This window comes from Homo sapiens, chromosome 12 (genome assembly GCF_000001405.40).
Source record: "Homo sapiens chromosome 12, GRCh38.p14 Primary Assembly".
NCBI lineage: Eukaryota > Metazoa > Chordata > Mammalia > Primates > Hominidae > Homo > Homo sapiens.
The window spans coordinates 50,622,150-50,648,660 of NC_000012.12; the positions used below are offsets into that span (position 1 = coordinate 50,622,150).

General features: G+C 41.4%; 1 protein-coding gene and 1 pseudogene across 1 annotated transcript in view, besides 1 other annotated feature; both read left to right on the plus strand.

Moving 5' to 3' along the window:
• The window catches only part of DIP2B (disco interacting protein 2 homolog B), a 243,673-nt gene that overhangs the window by 117,165 nt on the left and 99,997 nt on the right, over positions 1-26,511 (plus strand). The window contains exons 2-3 of the mRNA NM_173602.3: positions 3,827-3,898; positions 18,575-18,703. Coding sequence (NP_775873.2) covers positions 3,827-3,898; positions 18,575-18,703 — 201 coding nt within the window. The remainder of the gene's footprint in view (positions 1-3,826; positions 3,899-18,574; positions 18,704-26,511) is intronic.
• On the plus strand, positions 11,124-11,227 carry RNU6-769P (RNA, U6 small nuclear 769, pseudogene; annotated as a pseudogene).
• Positions 18,533-18,582: an enhancer, noted in NCBI's record as "active region_6362". NCBI's record gives its function as "activates an Ori minimal core promoter by ATAC-STARR-seq in GM12878 lymphoblastoid cells {active_cell/tissue: GM12878}" and the evidence as "EXISTENCE:reporter gene assay evidence [ECO:0000049][PMID:35858748]".

Sequence of the window (26,511 nt, forward strand, 5' to 3'; positions counted from 1 at the left end):
GGAACAGAAGAATGCTTTGGTATTTCTTTTACAATAAAAGACATGGTTTCCTGTTTCTAATGACGGTTTACTTGGTAGGCTTCTGTACCCCTGTTAGCTGTATTTACTGTTTGAAATTCCCTGAAGTCTTGAGTTGGCTGCTTTGAAAAGGTTTAATTAATTATTTTTTAACAAAAATTCAGTTTCTGTATTTTACTAGGGAAACAGATGAAGGACCATTGTGATTAAATTTGTATAGTGTAGTAAGTAGTCATGATTGAAGTTTTAAAATATTTATTGTTTCTTGAAATAATGTTCATTGCAGAAAAATTAGAAAATAAGAGCAAGAAGGAAAAGAAACTATAAAACCACTTCATAATCTTGCAAGCCATAACTAACCACTGTTAATATTTTGGTGGGTAAACATGCACACTTTTCCAGTGCATACACAGAAAAAAATTTTACATGTGTGCAAACACATTATTCCTTTTTTTTTTGAGATGGAGTTTCACTCTTGTTGCCCAGGCTGGAGTACAGCGGTGTGATCTCAGCTCACCGCAGTAACCTCTGCCTCCTGTGTTCAAGCGATTCTCCTGCCTCAGTCTCCTGAGTAGCTGAGACTACAGGCACGCGCCACCACTCTCAGCTAATTTTTGTATTTTTAGCAGAGACAGGGTTTCACCATGCTGGCCAGGCTGGTCTCGAACTCCTGACCTTAGGTGATCTGCGTGCCTCGGCCTCCCAAAGTGCTGGGATTACAGGCGTGAGCCACCTTGCCCAGCTATTTTTTTTTTTTTTTACCCCATCTAATGACCTATCAAAAATATCATTCTTAAAATTGAATATACTGTGTAAACCACCTTGTTAGCAAATATACACCTATGGACCGTTCGTTCTTAGAAAGATGTGTACTTTTGAATTAATATAAATCAGGCTTAGTTTTTAAAAATCAAACTCTACTAAAGTATATAAAACAGGCCAGGTGTGGCTCACACCTGTAATTCTAGCACTTTGGGAGACCGAGACGAGAGGATTGCTTGAGCCCAGGAGTTCAAGACCAGCCCGGGCAACAAAGCGAGATTCTGTCTTGAGAAAAAATTTAAAAACTAGCCAGGCATGGTGGCGTGCCAGCCACTTGGGAGGCTGAGGTGGGAAGATCCCTTGAGCCCAGGAGTTTGAGGTTGCCGTGAGCTATGATCACACCACTGCACTCCCTCCAGCCTGGGTGATAGAGGGAGACCCTGCCTCCAAAATATATGTATCTACACACACACACACACACACACACACACACACACACACACACACACTCTCTCTCTCTCTCTCTCTCTCTCTCTCTCTCACTCACCCAAGTATAAACAATTTAGTATATAGCCTTCCAGACACACACACACACACACGCACACACACACACACACACTCTCACTCACCCAAGGATAAACAATTTAGTATATAGCCTTCCAGATTATTTTCTGTGTATATGCAAACATACCTATTACTGTTTTTAAAAATTTTTTTAATTTTTTACGGAATCAGATGATGTTATACCTACTGTTCTGCAGCTTGCCTTTTACACGTAATGTATTACATCTCCTGTGGCAATATATTTGGATTACTTGCCCATTATTATATAGATTAGAGTTTTTCATCCTCAGCACTGCTGGCATTTTGGGCTGGATAAATCTTTGTTGTGGGACATTGCAGGTTGTTAGCAGCATCCCTGACCTCTATCCCCTAGATGCCAGTAGCACCTCTTCTTCCATGGTGACAAAAATGTTTCCCAACATTGTCACATGTCTCCTGGGGGACAAAACTCTCCTAGTTGAAAGCCACTGATATAGATGGTCTATAATATAAGCATCTAGATTGCTGCCAGTTTGTTTTTTTACTGTAAACAGTAGAGCACAGGATACTCTTAATGATTTTTGTGCACGTGTGTGAATGTTATCATTGAATAAATTCTTAGTACAGCTGCTGAATCAATTTTGATAGAAACTTGCAAATTACTCTAAGAGGATTGTATCATTTTATTTTTCAACTATATCCCAATGATTCCAAATCTCTCTTTCCTGAGTTCTAGATAAAACCAACTGTTGATTAGCTGTCTCTTCTTGTGTGTCCCACAGGCCTGTCCTAAGCTTAACTCTTTTCTTCGACCTCACCAAACACACACCTCAAGCAAGAAACCAGCTTCACCCTACTTTCTTTCTTTCTTTTTTCCTGAGACAGAGTCTTGCTCCATTGCCTAGGCTGGAGTGCAGTGGCGCGATCTCGGCTCACTGCAACCATCACCTCCCGGGTTCAAGCAATTCTCCTGCCTCAGTCTCCTGAGTAGCTGGGATTACAGACATGTGCCACCACACCCAGCTAATTTTTTGTATTTTTAGTAGAGACAGGGTTTCACCGTGTTGGCCAGGTTGGTCTTGAACTCCCAACCTTGTGATCCACCCACCTCGACCTACTGAAGTGCTGGGATTACAGGCATGAGCCACTGCACCTGGCCCCTATTTTCAAGCAGTCAGCAAATCCTATGGTCTTCCTCTTAATTCATTCACTTCATTCATCCCTTCTACCACTGTCTTTAATTCAAGCTACTACTTACTCTTACCCAGATCTCTGTAGTAGCACTGGACCAACATCTACTCCTTCTGGCTTTTAGTCTTGGTTCCTGACAACTCATTCTCCCAGCAAGGGTGAACTTGCTGCAGTGCAGTGTTAAGTCCTCTGCTCTAGCCCTTTTTAGTGATCCCTGCTTCCTCTCCATCATCCACTGCAGCATTGGAGGCTGAGGCCAACAGCACCTGACATTTATCACCCTTGATTGCAAATTTGTATCCGTCAGACATGCTTTTTTCCCCTAATAAGTGGATATTAAAATTTTGAATGTTTAAAGTACTTTTAATACTACAATTTGACTTTTTTTCCTGTTTTATATATTAGGTTCTATGTAAGGCTTCACAGTAAATAAAGTTATCTCTTATTTTAAAAGGTTCTTTTTCAGAAAACAGTGCTCTGTCATGTCACCTCACCACATATCTTTCATCCCTCAGCTTTAAATCACTCATTCTCCCTTAACGTCCTCTTGTTTCTCTGCATTTCCTGTTCCTTTTAACCCTACTCTCTACTCATTTATCTATTTCCGTTTCCTTAGTACCTAGTCCATTTCTTGCCACTTCAACTACAGATTTTCTCCTGTATTTATCAGTTTATCCTTATTGCATTTGTTGTATATGCACTAATTTGTGCATCATACATACTTTTAAATTTAACTTTGTGGAAAGGAGAGCCACATGAGTAAATAAGACAAAGCATTGAACCAAGGGGAGGGGATGTGGGAATTCCAGTCCCAGGTTCCAGCACAGGTGTTAGGGTACAGAAAGTCCTTTTAATTATCCCATCCAGAGCCTGAACTTTGTCTTCTCTTACTTTTATGTGGTTCGTATAGCAGTATAAGTGAATACCTCAGAAACCAGTTGTACTCATTTGGTAAATTGAAACTCCAGAGAGAAATCGTTGTCAGCCTTGCTGCATTCCATTTTGGGATATCTTAAATACCAAGGAAGCTGGGGATGCCTAGGAACTTGGGGATCTCTGTCATGGTATACAACATATTGCTATGCAAGATTGGTTTTGGGACAAGCTCTACAGTATTCTACAGGAAGTCAGCTCCAAGCCTGTGGGAAATCATACATAGCAAAATCCTTGGCAAAGAACCATACATTCCCCCCCCCAACCCCCTGCCTCTATATGGGGTAGTTCTATAACTCTGTAATTAATTTTATTTTTACAGTGGAAAACCACAGAGTAAGAATAATGCATAACCTATTTCTGTTTCTTGCTATTTTAGGGGACATCACCCAGAAGGGCTATGAAAAGAAAAGGTCCAAACTCCTATCTCCTTACAGCCCGCAGACACAAGGTAGGCAATAAAAAATGGTTTCAACTTTTTCAGTATTTTTACACCAAAAGATGCTGTCTTACAAGACCTCTATCTTTTGTTTGTTCCTGTTTTTCCCTCCCTTCCTCACCAGGGGAGAGAAAAAAACGGAAGGAAAGAAAGGAGGAAATGAATCTTAATGAGCATCTGCTGTGTGCTAGGCACTTTTAAAAATACCTAAGGTCATCAGATAATTTACACAGAACTTGGGTGGTAGTGTGTGAAAGACTATGCATAACTGAGATGATTCCATGGCAGAAAATTCCAAGCCATGGAAAAACCACATCGTATTTATGATGGTGCACAAACCGTGATGAAGAAGAGCAAGAGGGAGGAAGGAAGGACAGATCCCCTATCGAATGGCAATACTTGAGGATTGGGGGGTAAAACCCTAAATGAACTTGTAGATTAATTCAAAGCCAGACTTACTGCTTCTATAGAGAGACTAGCACATTGTTTATATATCAGAAAGTCCTGAATTAATTTCATGCTTAATGCCAAAGGGGTTGCCATAACCTTTGCCTCTAAGCAAGGCTGTCTCTAAATAATCATCATATTTTTAAAGTTACTCAGATTGCAGGATTTCCTTTGACAGCCTATTTCTGCTTATATCACTTTTACTATAGGGTGTTTTGTCTTTATTTCTGATTTTCTACCCCCTTCAACCAAAGTGTGTTTCTGCAAGCCTGTTCTTTGTGGAACTAATGGCTTTTTTTTTTTTTTTTTACTGAATTATAAATACCATGAGGACTTTGTATCTCCCACAGTTCTCATAGTAAGCTTTGCACAGGGTTTATGGCCTGTAAATATTTGTTGAATGAACAGTGGAATAAATAAATAAATAATGGTGATATACCAATATATTTCTTTGATGTGCTTGTTTTATTTCCTGTATTGTTCTTGGAAATACCTTCATAGAGAAACTAGTAGGTCAATACACTGACAGCTAATTTAAGATATCTCAATGAATAGGTGTATGTAGAAATGAATTGAGAGAAAAGAGGTGGAAATTGGGCCAGCGACAGCTAGTGAAAAGCCAGCTTTTGCTGAGCAAGGCATGACCTAGGGGTTGAGGAGGTTACCTTGATTTGCTGCTTATTGTGGATCTGGCCCATGCCTCTGAAGGCCCAGAGATTTACTTGAGTCACTTGGTGTAAAAGCAATAGCTCAGCAAGAGGTATAACTGTAAAAAGGACCACAGTTTGTTATCCGTAGTCAGGCTACGCAGAAACCAAATCATGTTCAAAAATCAATTTATTAATTTACTATGAGAAATTTTTTTTTTTTAGACAGATTCTTGCTCTGTCACCCAGGCGGGAGCGCAGTGGTGCGATCATGGTTCACTACAGCCTCAATCTCCCAGGTTTAAATGATCCTCCTGCCTCAGCCTCCTGAGTAGCTGGAACTACAGGTGTGCGCCACCACACCCAGTTAATTATTTTTTGTAGAGTTGGGGTCTCACTTTATTGCCCAGGCTGGTCTTGAACTCCTGAGCTCAAGTAGTACTGCCATCTCAGCCTCCCAGAGTGTGGGGGTTATAGGTGTGAGCCACCACGCCTGGCCTACTATGAGAAATCTGTATGGTCAGCACATTCTTGCCCCATGGGCAAGCCTATAATGGGAACCAAATCATTTGCTTAGTGAGCATGCATTTGATGAATCAGTTGTTTAATTGCAGTAGGCCAAGAGAATGTGGCATATCCCTCCCCCAGTAGGGATGGCCTTGCAGGTGACCTCACAGGGGAAATAGAAGGCATACGATGACAACTCCTTCAACTTCCTGATGCCACACTTCCAACATCTGTCCCCTTCCATGATTACTTCCTTCCTTCTGGTTAAAAAGATTATCTGTTCCTCCTGGCCAAGGACAGTCCTTCTACCTATGCTTTAGATCCCAACCCCTCCTCCTTTTCCCCAAATCTTATACTATCCAATGGCACCAAGGATAGGGCAGTGAGAGCAGTCTACCTGGTTGCAGTCAGTAAGGCACACAGTATCTGTAGAGAACTTAAAAAGCAATGATGGGCCGAGCGTGGAGGCTCACGCTGTAATTCCAGTACTTTGGGAGGCCGAGGCGGGTGGATCACATGAAGTCAGGAGTTCAAGACCAGCCTGGCCAACATGGCGAAACCCCATCTCTACTAAAAATACAAGAATTAGCCGGGCGTGGTGCTGCACACCTGTAATGCCAGCTACTCGGGATGCTGAGACAGGAAAATTGCTTGAACCCAGGAGGCAAAGGTTGCAGTGAAGCAAGATCATGCCACTGTACTCCAGCCTAGGCCACAGAGCAAGACTCCGTCTCAAAAATAAATAAATAAATAAATAAAAATATAAAAAGCAATGATGAAAACGACAAAAAATTGGTCTGCTTTTTACTAAAAAGTATCACTGTGTGCAGCAATTCTAAATGCTGTAATAAAGACCTCTCCTGCTGAGGCAGACAGCTGCATTGCCCCCTTGGTATGCCGTTGCTGTCAGGTCCTCATCTCTATCGTACAGTCATTCTCTCTGTCTCGTACAGTCACTCTCTCAGCCATATTCGTCCCTCAGCAGTTCATCATGCTTATTACTGTCTATTTAAAAAAGAATCCTCCATTTACTTGTCAGCCACTTCCATTTTCACCCTCTTTGTTTCCTGTTTCTAATCAAACTGCTCAGAACTGTCTATACTTAAACACTATTTTCTCAAATGCTCACTTCTCAGCCCGTTTTAGTTCCTTCTGGAGCTATTGCCATCTAATCTCAGTAGTATTCAGCACCCTGTCTCTCAAAACTCTTATTTTGAATCTCTCTTCTTATCTTCTTTTCTTTCATTCTTGTTTTTGTTTTGAGCAGGGTCTGGCTCTGTCGCCCAGGCTGGAGTGCAGTGGTGTGATCTGGGTTAATTGCAACCTCTGCCTCCCAGGCGCAAGTGATCCTCCCGCCTCACCCTCCCAAGTAGCTGGGACTACAGGCATGAGCTCCCACACCCAGCTAATTTTTGTATTTTTTTTTGTAGAGACAGGGTTTTGCCATGTTGTCCAAGCTGGTATTGAACTACTGAGCTTAAGCAATCCACCCGTCTCGGCCTCCCAAAGTGCTGGGATTACAGGCGTCAGCCACCATGTCCTACCTACTCTTCTTATTTTCTTACCCTTCACTTCCTGCTGCTCCTGGTCTTTCTTACAGGCTCATTTTTGTCTGTTAAATGTTAGATTTCTCAAGTTAAGGACCAAGACTTCTTGCCTTCTCACTCCATATCAGTGGTTCTCAAATTGTAGCAAGCCCTCAGAATCACTGGAGGGCTTGTTAATACACAGACTGCAGGGCCCCATTTTCAGGTTCAGAGTTTCTGATTCATCTGGTCCAGGGTGAGGCCTGAGAATAAGCATTTTTGTTAATTTCCCAGGTAATGTTGAGCTTGGTGGTCCAGGGACCACACTTTGAGAACCAATGCTGTATCTCTCTAGATTATTTCAGCCACACCTGTGACTTTAATTATCATTTGAATTTAGGTAACTCCTAAATATGTATCTTCAACCCGATCTCTTCCGAGCCCCCGATCCATAGATCCAACTGCATACTTAACATCTCCACTTATATACCTTAAAGGCATCACCATTTCAACATATCCAAAATTTAAATTTATGACTTCTGCACCCTGCCTCTACCACCATTACTAACCCCTCCCTGCATGCATTCTCCAGAAAACCAACTACAACATCCAACCTGCTCCTGTGCTTCTAGTTTTCTCTTTTGAGTGAATACAACCCACATTCATAAGCCCAGCAAGTTACAGGCTTAAAAGTCATCCTCAACGTCCCTGTCTTCCTTCCCTTCTTTTGTTACCAACCCCTATCAGTTTTCTGTTTCTTCTTGAGCCAGTTTTGGTAAATTTAATTTTTTTTTTTTTTTTTTTAATGAGACAGTCCTTGCTCTGTCGCCAGGCTGGAGTGCAGTGGCGCGATCTCGGCTCACTGCAACCTCCACCTCCCAGGTTCAAGCGATTCTCCTGCCTCAGCCTCCCAAGTAGCTGAGACTACAGGCATGTGCCACCACGCCCAGCTAATTTTTGTATTTTTAGTAGAGACAGGGTTTCACCATGTTGGCCAGGATAGTCTCCATCACTTGACCTTGTGATCCACCTGCCTCGGCCTCCCAAAGTGCTGGGATTACAGGTGTGAGCCACTGCACCCGGCCAAACTCAATTTTTCTAGGAAATTGTTTTGTTTAGTTTTCAAAGTTATTTATAATATTCTCTTTGTTTGTAAACCTTCTGCTTTATGTTGCTTGTCTCCCCTTCCCTCTTGTCTTTCTTCTCTTCTCTCTCTCTCTCTGACAGATCTGTGGATTTGTCAGTTTTCCATGTAATTCTGTCAAGTTTTGCTTTATATGTTTTAAAGCTATGTTATTAGGTACATTCAAATTAAGAATTATAATCTTCCTTGTAAATTGTTTCTTCTTTCATGAGTAACTGTGTTTGTCCCTATGGTGTTTTTTTATCCTAAGGCTTTAAAAAACAAATCTAAACATAGTTATTAGACATCTTAATTCTCTTAAAGGACACAAGGACTTTAGAATGCTTTGATGTTGATCACCACGAATTCTTTCTTTTCTTTTTTTTTTTTTTTTTTTTTTTTTGAGACAGAGTTTCACTCTTGTTGCCCAGGCTGGAGTGCAATGGCGTGATCTCGGCTCACTGCAACCTCCGCCTCCCCAGTTCAAGCGATTATCCTGCCTCAGCCTCCTGCGTAGCTGGGATTACAGGCATGTGCCACCATGCCCGGCTAATTTTGTAGTTTTAGTAGAGACAGGATTTCTCCATGTTCATCAGGCTGGTCTCGAACTCCTGACCTCAGGTGATCCACCCACCTCGGCCTCCCAAAGTGCTGGGATTACAGGTGTGAGCCACCGTGCCTGGCCATCCACCACTTCTTATCTTACATTTTAGTATCACCTTTATTTTAGTATGCCTTCAACTATCAGTTACTGTTTTATGTAGTTAACAATAGTTACTATCCATTTCTTTACTATTCCTTCTTCTGCCTCACTCTTTCTCCGGTCAGTTTCCTCCTCCTCCTTCTTTTCTTTTTTTGAGACAGGGTCTCACTCTGTCGCCCAGGCTGGAGTGCGGTGCTGTGATCTTTGCTCACCGCAACCTCCATGGACCTCCTGGGTTCAAGCGATTTTTTTTTTTTGAGACGGAGTCTCCCTCTGTCGCCAGGCTGGAGTGCAGTGGCCCAGACTTGGCTCACTGCAACCTCTACCTCCTGGGTTCAAGCAATTCTCCTGCCTCAGCCTCCCGAGTAGCTGAGATTACAGGCACCTGCCACCACACTCGGCTAATTTTTGTATTTTTAGTAGGGACAGGGTTTCACCATGTTGGCCAGGATGGTCTCGATCTCTTGACCTCATGATCCACCTGCCTCGGCCTCCCAAAGAGGTGGGATTACAGGCATGAGCCACCGTGCCCGGCCCTGATTCAAGCGATTCTTGTGCCTCAGCTTCCCCAGTAGCTGGGATTACAGGTTTGTGCCACCACACCCAGCTAATTTTCGTATTTTTAGTAGAGACAGAGTTTCACCATATTGCCCAGGTTGGTCTCGAACTCTTGGCCTCAACTGATCTGCCCGCCTCAGCCTCCCAAAGTCCTTGGATTGCAAACATGAGCCACTATGCCTGGCTAAATTTTCTTCTTCTTAAAGCACATTTTTTAGTAGCCAAATACTTTAGCGAGGGTCTGTCAGTGGTAAATTCTTTCATTTTGTGTTTTTCACTTTATTTGACCATTTTGTTCATTAACAATGTCCTTCCCAAAAAGGGGTGGGTTGTAGGGTTGGGTAATTTATGTTATATACATTCCATGTCAAAAGAAGAGATTACCCTTTGGCATATTTACCCCATATATCTTTGTAAATTTTGAAGGAAGCCATTTAATTTGACTTTTTTTTTTTTTTTCCTAAATAGAGAGAAGGTCTCACTATGTTGCCCAAGCTGTTCTCAAACTCCTGAGCTCAAGTGATCCTCCCGCCTCCGCCTTCCAAAAGTGCTAGGATTACAGGTGTGGGCTACCACACCCTGCCTAGTTTGACTTTTTAAATGGCATTGGAATGCAAATTTAAACTTTATTAAACTTTATTAAAGTTTAGTAGAGTTGGACTGGGTTCAGTGGCTCACGCCTGTACTCCCGGCACTTTGGGAGGCCGAGGTGGGCCTGAGGTTGGGAGTTCAAGACCAGCCTGACCAACATGGAGAAACCCCATCTCTACTAAAAATACAAAATTAGCCAGGCATGGTGTCGCATGCCTGTAATCCCAGCTACTTGGGAGGCTGAAGCAGGAGAATAGTTTGAATCTGGGAGATGGAGGTTGCAGTGAGCCGAGATTGTGCCACTGCACTCCAGCCTGGGTGACACAGCAAGACTCTGTCTCAAAAAAAAAAAAAAAAAAGGTAACATTCTCACTACTGTCTTTTTATTTATTTTTTATTATTATTTTTATTATTTTTGAGACAGAGTCTCGCTCTGTCACCCAGGCTGGAGTGCAGTGGCGTGATCTCGGCTCACTGCAACCTCCACCTCCCGGGATCAAGTGATTCTCCTGCCTCAGCCTCCTGAGTAGCCAGGATTACAGGCATGTGCTACCACACCTGGCTAATTTTTGTATTTTCAGTAGAGACAAGGTTTCACCATGTTGGCCAGGCTGGTCTCAAACTCCTGACCTCAAGTAATCCGCCTCCCTTCTCCTCCCGAAGTGCTGAGATTACGCGTGAGCCACTGCACCTGGTCTAATCACTGGTATCTTTTTAAATAAAAAGTTAATACTACAACATTTTATTACTGGGATTATTGTGTGCACATGCTCCTTACCTAAAAATTTAGTGAGTGATTTTTTTTCTTAAAAAAAAAAATAATTAGAGACAGGATCTCGCTATGTTGCTCAGGCTGGTCTCAAACGCCTGGGCTCAAGCGATCCTTCTGCCTCAGCCTCCTAAAGTTCTGGGATTACAGGTGTGAGCCACCTCTCCCTGCCTTGTGAATGATTTTTTTTGTGTGTGGAATTGATCTGTAGTTATCTTGGGTTGCGTATTTGTGTATATTGTATACTTCTTTTCTCAAATGTTACATAAATCTTTAAAACAGGACTTCAGAAAAAATTAACAGTGTAACAGGAAATATGGAAGATAATGCAATTTTGAAGAAAATATTTGAATAGTAAGTAATAGGGTGCTTGCTTTGGCAGTACATATACTAAAACTAGAACAATATAGAGATTAGTATGGCCCCTGTGCAATGATGACATGCAAATTCATGATGCGTTTCATCTTTTTAGAACATTAGACCTGAGTAACATGTCATTGTGTAAGGAAGAATAACATGCAAAAAATAGACCGAAAAAGGAAGTAGTAGAAATTTAGTATGGACAAGTTTGGTTAATATTAAGCATGGCTGGCTGGGCTCAGTGGCTCATGCCTGTAATCCCAGCACTTTGGTTGGCTGAGGCAGGATGATCACTTGAGACCAGCCTGGGCAACATAGTGAGACCTCATCTCTACAAAAAAATCAAAAAATTTGCCAGGTGTGGTGGCGCGCACCTGTGGTCCCAGCTACTCAGGAGGCTGAGGTGGGAGGATTGCTTGAGCCTGGGAGGTTGAGGCTGCAGTGAGCCGTGATTGTGCCACTGCATGCCAGCTTGGTTGACAGAGCGAGACCCTGTCTCCAAAAATAAGAAAAACTAACTTAATTCAGTAGCATCATAGGGATTAGGTTCTAAAGTCACTGTATGGCAAAAATCTGCTTCAAAATTACCCTAAAAAATCACTTAAACCTCCCAGCATTGGAACTGACAGTTGTTTCTTTAGTTAAACAAGAGCCATACCTTATCTGGTATTTAAGGGCCATGCTGTCTTTTAACAAATTAAAATTTATAAGATTAAAGATGAAAAATTCAGGTCCTCAAAACGCTCCGACTTTGAGAGGCATGAGAGAAATGAAGATACGGCAGATTCACACCTCCCATCTCTTGCTCATTCTGAGCTGTCTGCTCTTTGAAAGGAATGGCCCACAGAACATCTTTCAGTAGTTGGAGGCTACTGTGGCCAAGTATAAAGCTTCCCACATGTCTCAATTAGCAGACTTCCAGGGAGAAGTGGCCAGGAAATTGACTCTTTCTTTTGGCGTGGCCGAAAGAATTGAAGTTTCAGACCACACGCATTCTAACTTCTCTGTAAATTAGTCACTCTTGGCCACTCTTGTAGTTGCAGGAAAATGGAAGATTTTGTGTAGAAAGGCAATTTCCCTGTGCTGGTCCTGTGGTCTAATCTTTAAGATACTTTGGATACAAGTAACTGATAATTCCAGCTAGCTTTAATAGAAAAAGAGTTCATTCTAAACTTACAGGGGTTACTGACAAATCTAAGGACAGTATGTATTTACTGAGTGCCTACTGTGTTCCAAATACTGTTTCGACACCAAGGAGACAGCATGGGACAAGACACTGCCCAGAACCTACCTGGCTTGCTCCGTCACTCTACTTAGGGGTTTGTTCAATTAGGGAAGTCCTGGAGAGGCCCTCCTTGACCAGCCCTATAAATAGTCCCCACTTCCATTATCTGAGTTGCATTTTAAAAGAGCTGTCTTTGGCCATCCCATAGATTGTGGCCTGTTTGTGTGTCTTATTCACCTACTGGAGGAACATTATTTTTTATTTTTTTTTATTCTTCATGTCCCCAGTTTCTAGCATTAGTGCCTGATATATAGTAGATGTTCTATAAATGTTTGCACAACTAAAAAGAAAGAGCATTTAGAATTTCTGGCATTTTCTTGAGTAAACATCTATGAAGATAAAAGTGTTAGGTAATACAAGAAGCAGGGCACTCTACACATTATAGAGTGGTCTCTTGTAGATTGATCCTGGCAACTTGTTTCCACCCTCAATAGATCTTTTAATATAGACCTACTAAAACCTCAAGAGGCTGTGCAGAGTATATCAATTCTCAAATGATATTCTAGCATTTCTTTAATTTTTAAATGAAGTTGGTACATCTATTTTAAATAGTACTACAAGATTTATAACAACAGAAATGAGCAGAAAGAAAAGGAGAGGCAGGATACTGCTCATTCTGTTTTGTCTTACTGTATTTGAGATTATTTGTGACGTTTGTGTGTTTGATTTTCTTCATCCTGTGACTTACTTCGTCTTTCACTTCATTTTTGAAGTGAATTGTGTTTATCTCCTGCTTCAGAATAAGATCTTACCTTTCACATTTTCTTTCTTGACCTATATGTTTCTGCATTGTTTTTCCCCCAGATTCCTGCCTACTTATTTTTTAGGGATAAATAATAAGTTTATGAAGATAGTTATTAATATTTGTTGATGTTCTTTAGCTTGCCTTGATAAGAAGTTCTGGTCACCCAAAGGTTTTTCCCAAACGTGGCTTCCTTTTGTGATTGCTGCTTGCTGTGCTGAGTGGCAGTCCCCGGTGTTCCAGTTCCTATAAGTACACTGCACTTGGCAGCTGCTTCGTGCTCCTTTCATCGCAGTTCTTCTAGGTTCAGTCCTGCCTTTGAAGTTGTTCAAGGGTGCGAGTGTGACCAAGTTAAAATGAAACAAAGGAAAACCCTTGTGTTTTATTCTCTCTCTCAAGCCTCTAATAATGCCTCCTGGAGTAGTCTGTAACCCTATTTTCCTTAATGTCCTTGTGTAAGTATATGAAGATAATGAGAGGCACACATTTTTGCATACAACTTATATGAATTGGAGATACACAAATAAGCAGGATTTTTAGGTAAACTTTAAATGGCTATCTCAACATTTTTGTGTTTATTTTTTCCGAGCAACTACTATTATTGGTGGAGGTGAGGAGACAGACAAGATCTTAATTATTTATTTTAATTAAAATACTAAATGCTTGCAATATGAAAGACCAAGGACCAGTTACTATAGGAGATACAAGATGCTTAAGACCAGCCTCTGACCTCAAGTTATTTACACTATAGCAGGAGAGATGACAGTTACACAAATGAGGATCATAAAAGAGAGTAGAATAAGTACTGTAAGAGAGCTCTAAACAAAGTAGCGTGGAAATTCAAAGGGACGTGAACTTAAAACCAGTTTTTGAAATCAGGAACAGCATTTTGGAATGCCACAGAACATTTCCAATTGTAAATACTCGGTAGGCAATGTGCCTCTGTGTATGTATGTATGCATAGGGTTTGAGGAGTGGAATCTATTTTGTTTTATGTGTCTCATTTTGATTTAAAAGTTCCTTCCCAAATGAGGCTCATAGCATAATGGAAAGAACATAGAATCTTTTTTCCAATCCCCATTCTGCTTTCATTTGTTTGGTTTGGATGGTATTGGAATCACTATGAATTGGAGCACACATTGCAATTATATCTGCCCCCGTATATCTCATCAGAAGGAAGTCCAGTATTTTCCTCTTGGGGCTTCTTTTTCCTCCTAAATTGTCTGAGAACCCTCAGGGATTATATAGGCAGTGCAAAAGGAGAGGTAGTAGATCCAGCTTTCACACCCAAAGGGGAAAGATCCCCACAGTCTGCTGTTTGCTTTCCATCATCTCACAGGGTGCTGCTGAATAACTGGTCCTCACTGTGTGACCAGCCAGTAATGCTGAGCCTGTTCCCTGCATCGGCTACTCTGATGCATCATGGAGGAGGAGCCAGGTACTCTACTTGGACTCCCGGAGCAGAGCTCCTGGTGTTGGCTCTTTTAGCCTCATGCACTGTCATTTTCCTGATGTCAAGTGGCCAAGGAAGCTCTGGGTCAGGATCTGTTCAGACACCTACCACTTTACAGACCTGGAGCTCCCAACCCGCTCTCCTTACAGAGTCTACCCCTGGAAAACAGGCAGGTGGCCCCTTTTCCAGACTCCAGACACTAGCACTCTCGTTCCTCTCTTGCCTTCTCTAGGCGGTGAGGTTAATCACCGACCCTTCAAAGGAAGACTGTCCTCAATTACTCACAGCTGCTCTAGCCTCTCAATCAAGAGGCTAGATTGATTGAGCCTTCTTGGATGGGGTGGGAGTGAGGGCCCTATAATGATTCAAGGTGATTATTGGTTCCCTCTCACTGTGGAAAAATCTGTAACGGGCATCCTGCTTCATTAATAGTATCTATCACATGGTGCTGTTGTGAAGACATAATGAGATGGTAATAGGCAAGAGCCATGGAAATATTATTATCATTGATATTCTGTCATTTCCTGTAAATCCCTTCAAAGGCTGCCCACTCGGCTTAGGACAAGTGACCTGATGCCACTTTTCTAGTCCAGTCTCATTTTGTAACACTCTACCCTTTTGCTGTATCTTTAGCCTCACTGGTCTTAGACTTGCCAAGGCTTTTCTCCCTCACTGGGCTTCTACAAACACCATGCTTTTGAATAAAGTGGCTTTTCCTTCTCTCTGCCTAGTTAAGTTTTGCATCACTGTCTCCTTTCAGCAGACATTCATCTTCCCTGAAACTCTAATACAAGTTAAATCCTTATTATGTGGGCTGGGAGACCCTTGTTCTTTTCCTCCTTAGCATGTATCACAAGGTCAAAGGTATACATATGGTGACCACTTGTTTAATGTGTTTCTTCTCTGGACACTAGCACCAAGAACAGTAGGCATGTCTGCTCTGTTCACCTCCCAGAAGTTGAACTATTAGGTTCCTTGGTTCTCAGAGCCCATCCTGTTTCACTCTGTTACTCTTGCAGGTGAGAATATCTGTTAAATCATAAGCAGAATTAAAAGATAACATGTGGAGGCTGGTGGCTTCCTTCCATCTTCCTGAGTGGAAATGTGTAGTTTTTTGCTACTAAATACCATTTTTTTCAGATTATCATCCTTACCATATTCAAACAATAGAAACATATTAGACTCTGATGTATTTTTCTGCCAAGGAACAATAACTTACATACATATTGATCATTGAGAAGGAAGGCTTTATGTTTTTGAACCTAAAATGTGTACTTTTTATTGTTACTAAACCTTTTAACATCATCACTATTTAAACATAATGGTGACCTCTAGTGGATATTCTGCATAACAGACTGAAAGATCAGAAACCCCCGAACTGAAGCTCTTGCTTTGTAATAATCAGCAAGTTGTCTTTTTCTTCGGATCTCTGTTTTATTTTGTGCTAGAATTTAGAAGTCATAAAGAAGACTTAATTTGTGAGTCTGGCAGCTTCCATTCCAGCACGTATTTGTATTGTCTTTTAGAATTTGGTTTTATGCGTAATTCATCCTATAAGCAGAACAATGAAATTGTAAAGAAATAGAGTACCTCAATCCAAATACCTTTGGGATTTTTATGTCCCACCTGACCCTTATAATTGTATATAAATAGTTTTTACATACAGTTATAATTATATTGTGTACATAATATTTTGTGTTCTTTTATCACTTGGCATTACTTTATTTGGACTGAAGTATCTGCATAGTCTACATATTTTTCATTTGTAATGGCATATAGTATCTCATTATGTTGATACATGTAGTTAAGTTTCATCTTTGCTTTTAGCTTTTCTTTACCATGGCAGTGAAACTGTGTATATCTTATTCAAAACACAGGAATCTGTATTTTAGCACCCCAGGTAATTTCTGAGATCTAGTTGGAGTGTGAAACCATGGTCAGGGAATGATTCACCTTGAGGCAGCATCTTGCCTGCCCAGCTGACATTACATATGCTGTTAAATAATGTCCTGCTGTCCTCCCATGCCCCCATACTCCTTCCCACCTCTTTTTGATGAGGCCTGAGGTATGGGTTGAGTAGCCCTTATCTGAAATGCTTGGGACTAGAAGTGTTTCAGATTTTTTTTTTTTGGAATATTTACATTATATACCAGTTGACCATCTGAAATCTGAAAATTGGCAATTAGAAATGTTTCAAGGAACATTCCTGTGAGCATTAGACAGGAGCTCAAAAAGTTTCGGATTTGGGTATTTGGGGTGTTCAACCTGTATGTTGTTTTCTGCCCCCATTCGTGATAAATCACTGCCCTTGCAAGTGAGCCAAGGTGGGAATAAGTCTCCACAATTTTTTTTTTTTTTTTTGAGACAGAGTCTTGCTCTGTCACTCAGGCTGGAGTGCAGTGGCACGATCTTGGCTCACTGCAACCTCTGCCTCCAGGTTCAAGTGATTCTCCTGCCTCAGCCTCCCCAAGTAGCTGAGACTACAGGCGTGAATTTGGGCAGGGCTAATTTTGGTGATTATTTTGCTCTATATGGTTGCCAACTGAGGTCATTCAGTGGTTGTCTTCCCCCTCACCTAGTAGATGGGCTGCTCTGGACAGTCCAAGATGGCTCATTCACATGTTTGATGCCTTGACAGGGCAGGTGGATGGCTGGGCTCAGCCGGAACTATTGACTAGAGCCTCAACACATGGCCTTTCCAGCATGCTACCTGCTTTTTTTTTTCTTTTTAAATGATATAACATTGTCATTATGAATCTCAGTTCCTGTAATACTCTGATGCTATCAGTCTTTACTGGGCTGTGTGGCACTGTTGCTTGTACTCCCCAGACCGCTGCTTTGAGTCTTTTTTTTTTTTCCTTAATTTTTTTGCTTTATAGGCTGATTCTCAGCTGGGATCTGGAGCAGTACATTTGCTGTGTAGGTGACATCTTAATATATTAGGCATTTAATTTGCTATGTGTAAGCTGCCTTGCTGGGCATAACCGGGTGCTATTTCAGAAACTTAAGCCTTAAGGAAATCCTGCAATATGTGACAACATGGATGAACCTGGAGGACATTATGCTGAGGAAAATAAAGCAGTCACAGAAGAACAAATACTGCATGATTCCACTTATATGGGACATCTAAGAGAGTCAAGCTCATAAAAGCAGAGAGTAGAATGGTGGTTGCCAGGGCATATAGGGAGCAGGAAATGAGGCATTGCTGTTCTGCAGGTATAAAGTTTCAGTTATGCAAGATTAGTAAGTTCTGCTTTATAACATCGTGCCTTATTAATACTAATAAGATATTAATACTACTGTATTTTACACTCAAAATTTTGTTAACGTACATCTCGTTAAGTTTTTTTATTGTAATTTTTTTTAAGAAACAGATTTGGAATTAATCATTTGAGATAAAAAGGCAGGAAAACATCAGAACTTAGTGTTTTTCTGTTTATTTACCCCATCCCCATATTCTTGATAAGACAGTACATTTTGGGAGGGGAGAGTATGGGGACAGGGTAGGGTCAGTGATGAGTCCAGTTGGAAGAGGGGCTAATAGACTTGACTTGAAGCTGTGCTGCATAATCACCCTGTTTTTGCTTGTATTATGTTTATCTGGAGTGACTGACGGTATGGTAGCTAAGGCTCCCCAAGCTATTCGTTGTCTCACTGTTTAGGATTGGGGATCATATGCAGTCAACTCCCCATCAGTACTGCCTCTCCTTGGAGTCTCTGGAATGGCCTTTTAATTTACATTTGTCTTCTTGCTATTCCTCTCCTATCAACCTGTTGACATTTAAGGCTCTAAGATGATATTTTTTAGTTTGGATGTCTTTGCATCATATTTATGTATTTATATTGAAACTCTAACCCTTTACTGTAGATGGGGTAATAGTACCTAGCTCAGAGTATTGTGAGAATGCTTAAAGTGCTTTAGAAAATGTTAGCTATTACTGTTACTGGATAACCATCTTTTAAACTTCCTTTTTTAGAAACTGATTCAGCAGTACAGAAAGAACTTAGAAACCAGACACCTGCTCCATCTGCAGCTCAAACTTCTGCTCCCTCTAAGTACCACCGAACTCGATCTGGGGGAGCCAGGGATGAACGATATCGATCAGGTGAGGAGAAGCTGCAGAATGGCCAGCTGAATCGTTTTCCTAACAGTAGTATGAACTGTGTATCCTGAGAGCTTCTAATACTTGTCTTTTTTTTCCCTATGAGGCACCAACAGTTTTATATTAACTCATTCACCAATCATTTATTTTGTACCCTACTATGTATCAGGTATAGTAGGTACTCAATAATTTGCTGGAAATGGAACAGCACATAAGACTGTTTCCGGCTGGGCGATGTGGCTCACGCCTGTAACCCCAGCACTTTGGGAGGCTGAGGCGGGCAGATCACTTGAGGTCAGGAGTTTGAGACCAGCCAGGCCAACATGGTGAAACCTCGTCTGTACTAAAAATACAAAAATTAGCTGGGCATGGTGGTGGGCACCTGTAATCCCAGCTACTCAGGAGGCTGAGACAGGAGAATCACTTGAACCTGGGAGGTGGAGGTTGCAGTGAGCTGAGATCCCACCACTGCACTCCAGCCTGGGCAACAGTGAGACTGCATCTCAAAAAAAATAAAGACTGTTTCTGCCCTTAAGGAATGTAACAGTTTAAGAAGAGAACCAGACAAGCATACAAGCACAAAGGCCATGTGAATAAATAAGTAAATAAGAAAGTGAAGGGTTGGGTCTTGTGGGTGGTACTAGGAGACCTCAGTGGATTCTATTGGAAGAGGCAGGCCCTTCTGTGTTTGCCAGAGTTGTTGCATAACTAGTCTCTCTTAATTGATGGAGCTGAAAGAAAACTCACAATGAAATTTCAAATTAGTTATTTCTTCTAACCCAAGAAGTACCCACAGGAAGGGAAGGAGCAAGGTGTGCCTGCATGGCAGCGGGAGCATGCTCCTGCTTGTACTGTGCTTGGGACCACCTGGCGGCCAGTACCAGGTGTGTGGCTTTGATAAGCAGAGGAACGACTGGTAGATCCCTAGAGCACGTGTGGTGCAGCAGGCCCTTCCCATGCCCACTTCCTGTCCGCTGCACCAAGAGTAGTCTCTGCAGCACATTTCTTGTTTTAAGAAGTGGCAGAATTAAGCAAAAAGACTAATGGGGATATTATTTATTTTCTTCAGATTTTTGTCTTCTTTGTACTGACCAAGGTTGCCTTAACATTTTCTTGAACTGAAAAACACAGTCTATATCACATCCTCTCAAAAACTGCTTTAGAGAAAATGAGAAAAGGACACAGTTGAAGAGCTACATCAGCTATTTTGTGAGCTGATTTTACTAGATACATATTTTCACACACAGAAGGAGAAAAGGATGAGAAATGTTCAGTCGGGAAAAAAAAAATAGAGGTTGTAATTTTATACCTAAACTGGTCTTGAGTGATAGGAGAGGCTTGCTCAGAGAACAAAGACATCCAAGCTGAGTCATGGCAGACAAACAAGAGTTAGCCAGGGAAATAGTGTTCAGAACTTAGAATGCAAGGGTCAGAAAGAGGTGGGAGATGAGGCTAGAAAGATTACCAGAGACCAGATCTTGTGGGATCTTGAATGTCACTGAAGGATTTTCAGCAGAGCAGTAACATCATCAGATTTGTATTTGTTCCAGTAGCTCACTCCAGCTGTAGACTGCAGTGCCTGGCACAGGGCCTTCCATATATAAGAGCTAAACAGATATTTTGCAGAAAGAAGGGAATAGAAGTATTTACTAGTAGGCCAGGGTGGTGGCTCACACCTGTAATCCTAGCACTTTGGGAGGCCAAGGTAGGTGGATCACTTGAGGTCAGGAGTTCGAGACCATCCTGGCTAACACAGTGAAACCCCATCTCTATTAAAAATACAAAAAAATTTAGCTGGATGTGGTGGCAGGCGCCTGTAGTCCCAGCTCCTCGGGAGGCTGAGGCAGGAGAATGGCGTGAACCTGGGAGGCAGAGCTTGCAGTGAGCCGAGATCGTGCCACTGCACTCCAGCCTGGGCGACTGAGCGAGACTCTGTCTCAAAAAAAAACAACAACACATCGTGGTTACTAGTTAAGGAATGGATCAGAGAAAGGGAGGGCTGGAAGTAGCAAAGCATTCAGGTGCACCCCTTTGTTGCCAATCACCTGAGCCTCATTTTCCAGCCACCTAGTGTTGCCTTTTCAGGCTGGAGCCCAGGTTCAGCAGCAGCATGTTCCAACCTGTCCAGAAGGGTTTTTAGCCGTCACAGCTTTCATCCCTGGCCTTCTGGGAGTTTCTGTGTGTGTGTGTGTGTGAGTGTGTGTGTGCGTTTTGTTTTTTTAACCTTCCTTTTTCTTTGTTTTTATAGCATGTAATAAAGGATTATTAAGGATCCAAAAAGGTGATTTTCAATATTCTATATCCAAGCCAATCAAATGTAAAAAAGTTTTTTGTGAGCTCATTTAGTACTATAAAATTTTGAGCTTCACCTGTTAAAACCCAGCTGTGATCTGTAGTCCCTGCTGTTTTGCACCATTGCTTTTTGATTATCCCAAGTATTAGAAAGCGTATGCTGTGGATCAGATACTAGTCAGCTGACTGTGGAGATTGTTGGTTAGGTGCAGGTATACTAGAGAGTTTGTAACAATTGTATGTTAATCTCACTGGGAGTTTTTCTGTGTGTGTGTGTGTGTGTGTGTGTGTGTGTGTGTGTGTGTGTGTGTTTTAAAGGATAGTAGCAAAAAGTAGGCCAGAACGAGGTGAAGTAGGGGAGAAAAAGTGATTTAAAAACCCTGAAGATATTGAAAGCTATGAGGGTCCTGCAATCCTATCAGGAGGGGAACATAAAAAGAGGATGCAAGCATAGACTTTGGGTGAAAATCAAATTTTTCAGTATATTAGGAATTGCTCAACTAAATAACGAAAGAAAGCTCAGGATGTGAAAGAAATTGAGTCTCTGAGAATTCTGGCTTCTCCGAATAAGAAGAAATCAGCAGGGGTGGCTCATGCCTGTAATCTCAGCACTCAGGGAGGCCGAGGCAGGAGGATTGCTTGAGAAGAGACCCGCAGCCCCTGCAGAGGTGGAGCAGATAAGTAGTGGAGGTTGATGGGAGCTGACCTTATATCTGTTTGCTACGCCAGTCATAGAAAGGGTTACATTTACATGTCATGTGCAAAAATAGCTGAAGAATTTAGGGTATATTTAATAAAAGTTGCTAGAATTCAGAATAAAGTGATGGCTATGTAAGAAGGATTTTATATTAATGCTGGTAAGTGTAATTATAAAACACTTTCTTATTTGATGGAGGCTTATTAACACCTATAACATTTCAACCAATCATAATCAAATCTAAATAGACTTAGTGTTCACATTTCAGACACAGTATAAAGAACTTACCTTTATTCAGAGTTTAGATTATCTGACCTGATTCCATTCTTTGTGCTTTAGCCAAGAGGGAGCTTAATTTCAAGTATACTACCTTATTAGTATATTTCTTTTTCCTGCACATCCAGGCATGATTCACCTCCCTGCACACACATAGTATGGTCTCAAATGTAGAAAACACAAATTAATGCCTGAGATGGAAAGTGATCTTATTGTAAGTCATTCTGACTCCCTTGATGTTAATCTCTTGAGAAGTTAGGTACCTCAAACAAAACAACAAAAATAAAACAGGACATTAAGGGAGTATTCGTATTACCTTATTCAGCTCAAACATGAATACTGGAAAATGATACCCAGCTTCCACATGCTTCTGGGAGAGATGTCCAAAGTCACTTGTGTCTGGGGACTGAACTCCAGAAGTGACTTCTTTATCAAAGATCAAGATGAATTGTGTGGTGTTCAGTGAGTCAAATTCAGTTAAGAGAGCTGCCTGTTCTTATCAATAAGAGTCTTTTCTAATAGATAACTGAACATCTCTTTTTGACACTGGTGTATGGGTCAAGGTTTATCATGTTAGAAAATAGTTGGGTGGCTTGATTCGTTTTGTAATCTGTTGCTGTGAATGCCTGTGACAGGGAAAAACATGCTCTGTAATTACTAATTATCCAAATGTTACAGGCCTTCTAAAGCTTTCTTAATGTGTGTAATTCCCTAGCTTTGTCCAGTTTGCCATTACATATTTCATATCATATATAAAAATGCTTTTGGAAATGTACTCTTTTTAATTAATAAATGTAAGAATTTGATTTGCTGTTGTCTGTTACTTTCTCAGTAGAAGTGATTAATCATTTTTTAAGACAGCTAGGAATCATTTTTCCTTCTAATATAAGGAGGACATTTTTCTCATTTTTAACATACCTAAAATCAGAATGTTTTATACAAGATGACACCATAGATTCAATTAAATATGCAATCGTGATTCAACTAAGTAAATTCCAAGGACACTACAATTGTATAATCAGTATAAATGCAGTATAAAATTATTTCATTTCAGAGCTAAAAATAAGTTGGTAATGTCTTAAAAGTAATAGCCCAACAGTTTGGCAATATCATTAAAATTTTAAATAGTCATGTTCTTTATCCAGAAATTCTACTTCTAGGAATTCATTTTATATAAACAGTCGTGTGCACAAAGATATATACATACATATACAAAGATGTTTGTTGTAGTATTGTGTATAATACAATGGTTAAATAAGTCATAGAATGTTCACACAGTAGAATTTTATGAACGTTAAAATGAGGTAGATGTATTTGTGCAAATATGGAAGGATGTACAAAATCCTTTTTTTTTTTTTTTTGAGACAGGGTCTCACTCTGTCACTCAGGCTGGAGTACAGTGGCACAATCATGGCTCAGTGCAGCTTCTAACTCCTGGGTTCAAGCAATCTTCCTGCCTCAGCCTCTTAAGTAGTTGGAAGTACAGGCACATGCTACTGTGCCAGGTTAACTTATTTTATTTTTTGTAGAGATGGGATCTCACTTTGTTGCCCACGCTGGTGTCGAACTCCTGGTTTTAAGCAATCCTCCCGCCTTGGCCTCCCCCAAGTGCTGGGATTACAGTGGTGAACCATTGTGTCCAGCCCAAAATATACTTTTTAAATAATAAAGGCAAGACAGTATGTAGCATATAATCTGATTTTTATAAATAATATGTTTATAATTGTAATATTTATAGCATTATTATGTTATAGTAATATAAACATATGCTACTATGTTTATAGACATGGAGACCTGGAAAAATATATACCAAACTATTGAGGCAGGAGTATTTTTGGGAAATGGTGGGTCTAGGGAAAGTTTTCACTTTAGCTTTATATATGTTTAGATCTTTTTGCAATGTGTATTTTTTCAATCTTTCATTATAGTAAAATAAAATTTATGTGTATTGTAAATTTTAAAGATAGGTTTTAAGATTTTAAGGTCTTAATTATTGTTTATTTATTTTATTTTATTTTATTTTTTTTGAGACGGAGTCTCACTCTGTTGCCCAGGCTGGAGTGCAGTGATGTGATCTCAGCTCACTGCAACCTCCGCCTCCTGGGTTCAAGTGATTCTTCTGCCTCAGCCTCCCAAGTAGCTGGGATTACAGGCACGTGCCACCACACCCAACTAATTTTTGTATTTTAATAGAGACGGGGTTTCACCATATTGGCCAGGCTGGTCTGGAGCTCCTGACCTCGTGATCCGCCTGCCTTGACCTACCAAAGTGCTGGGATTACAGGCGTGAGCCACTGCGCTTTGTCTATTATTATTATTATTTTTGAGACAGAGTCTCACTCTGTTGCCCAGGCTGGAATGCAGTGGTGCTATCTTGGCTCATTGCAACCTCCGCCTCCTGGGTTAAAGTAATTCTCGTGCCTCAGTCTCCCGAGTAGCTAGGATTACAGGCACATACCACCGTGCCCAGCTAATTTTTGTATTTTTAATAAAGATGAGGTTTCCCTGTGTTGGCCAGGCTGGCCTCAAACTCCTGGCCTCAAGTGATCCACCCACCCTGGCCTCTCAATGTGCTGGGATTACAGGTGTGAGCCACCATGCCCGGCCCAGTTATTGTTCTTAATGACTTTTACTCTAAGTATGGATTCTTCTGATTTAATGCTGGGAGCTAAATGCAGTACTAACTCGCTTTGCCACCCTAATTGTGAACTTTTCTGTCTGTCCAAATCTAATCTCTGATCTGGTGATGGCTGGCACTGGCACACCAAGATCATTTTATTTCTGATATATTCCTCATGCTGTAGAAGGTAAGTTGAATTCAGTTCAGCAAGCATTTATTGTAGACTTCCTATATTTTGAGAAAAATGTTAGATTGATAGAGAAGCATAGATGAAAACACAGGAGTTTTTCTTCTGTTTTTCTTGTTTGTCTTTTTTTGGGGGGAGGGGGGTGGGGGACGCTGTGGTCCCGCTCTGTTGTCTAGGATGAAATGGAGTGACACAATCTCGTCTCACTCCAACCTCCGCCTCCTGGGCTCAAACGATCCTCCCTCCTTAGCTCGAGTAGCTGGGACTACAGACAAACCCTGTCATGCCTGGATGATTTTTGTATTTTTTGTGGAGACAGGGTTTCACCATGTTGCCTAAGCTGGAGTTTTTCTCCCCCCCGCCCAAAACAAGGTTCAGAGGTGACACAGAAGAGGGAGACGGGAAGGCATACAGTGTCAAGAATGGGCTTCAGAATGGAGGTGGTGATGTCTGAGCCATTTTGAAGGATGGATAATTATTTGGATATTCCAGGCAGAAGAAACATAATTTATCAAGGCAAGGGAATGTGAAATGGAAAATTAAAATATCCCCTCCTTTTCCTCTCCACCCTGCACAGAGTAGTGCCCTAATTAGTGTTGTGATATCCTATTTCAGAAGTTAGTCGTTGCTGCCTCTGCAAGAGGTCAGTACCTTAGAAATTAAGGAAAAATGGCATGACTGCTTGTTGGCTTGCAAGGAATTCCTTGAACAATACCTCTCTGCTTTATGACTCAACCCACCTACACATTTGCTTTTCAGTCACTCTGTCCCTATCTGTCTGTCTATGGAAAAATCCTAACAAGTAAGGTCACTTGGTCTGAGTTCTGGCCCTGGTCCTTAAAGCCCAGGTGTGCCACTCATGGATCATATGCTAACCACTTTGTAAAAATAAGCCAAGAATAGGAGCAGCTGGCCGGGCACAGTGGCTCACACCTGTAATCCTAGCATTTTGGGAGGCCGAGGCAGGTGGATTGCTTGAGGTCAGGAGTTTGAGACCAGCCTGACCAAACCCCGTCTCTACTAAAAATACAAAAATTAGCCAGGCGTGGTGGCGTGCGCCTGTAGTACCAGCTATGCGAGAGACTGAGGCAGGAGAATTGCTTGAACCCAGGAGGCGGAGGTTGCAGTGAGCCAACATCGCGCCACTGCACTCCAGCCTAGGCGACAGATCGATGCTCCAACACTCCGTCTCAAAAAAACAAACAAACAAACAAAAACCAAAAGAATAGGAGCAGCTACTTTGAAACTAAAAATAACATATTCCACTTAGTCTTTTTGGGAAAGATGAGAAAACAAATGTTTCAGTGTTATCCTTATCTTGGTGGTAAAAGTATTATTTCTTTTGTTACTAATGAGGTTGGACATTTGGAGATATGTTTACTGGCCATTTGTGCTTCTGTAAACTACCTGTCCATTGCCTAAGCCTATTTTTTTTATTATTTTATTTATTTATTTTTTTTGAGACGGAGTCTCGCTCTGTTGCCCAGGCTGGAGTCCAGTGGCCCGATCTCGGCTCACTGCAGGCTCCGCCTCCTGGGTTCACGCCATTCTCCTGCCTCAGCCTCCCGAGTAGCTGGGACTACAGGCACCTGCCACCACGCCCGGCTAATTTTTTGTATTTTTAGTAGAGACGGGTTTTCACTGTGTTAGCCAGGATGGTCTCGATCTCCTGGCCTCGTGATCCGCCCGTCTCGGCCTCCCAAAGTGCTGGGATTACAGGCGTGAGCCACCACGCCCAG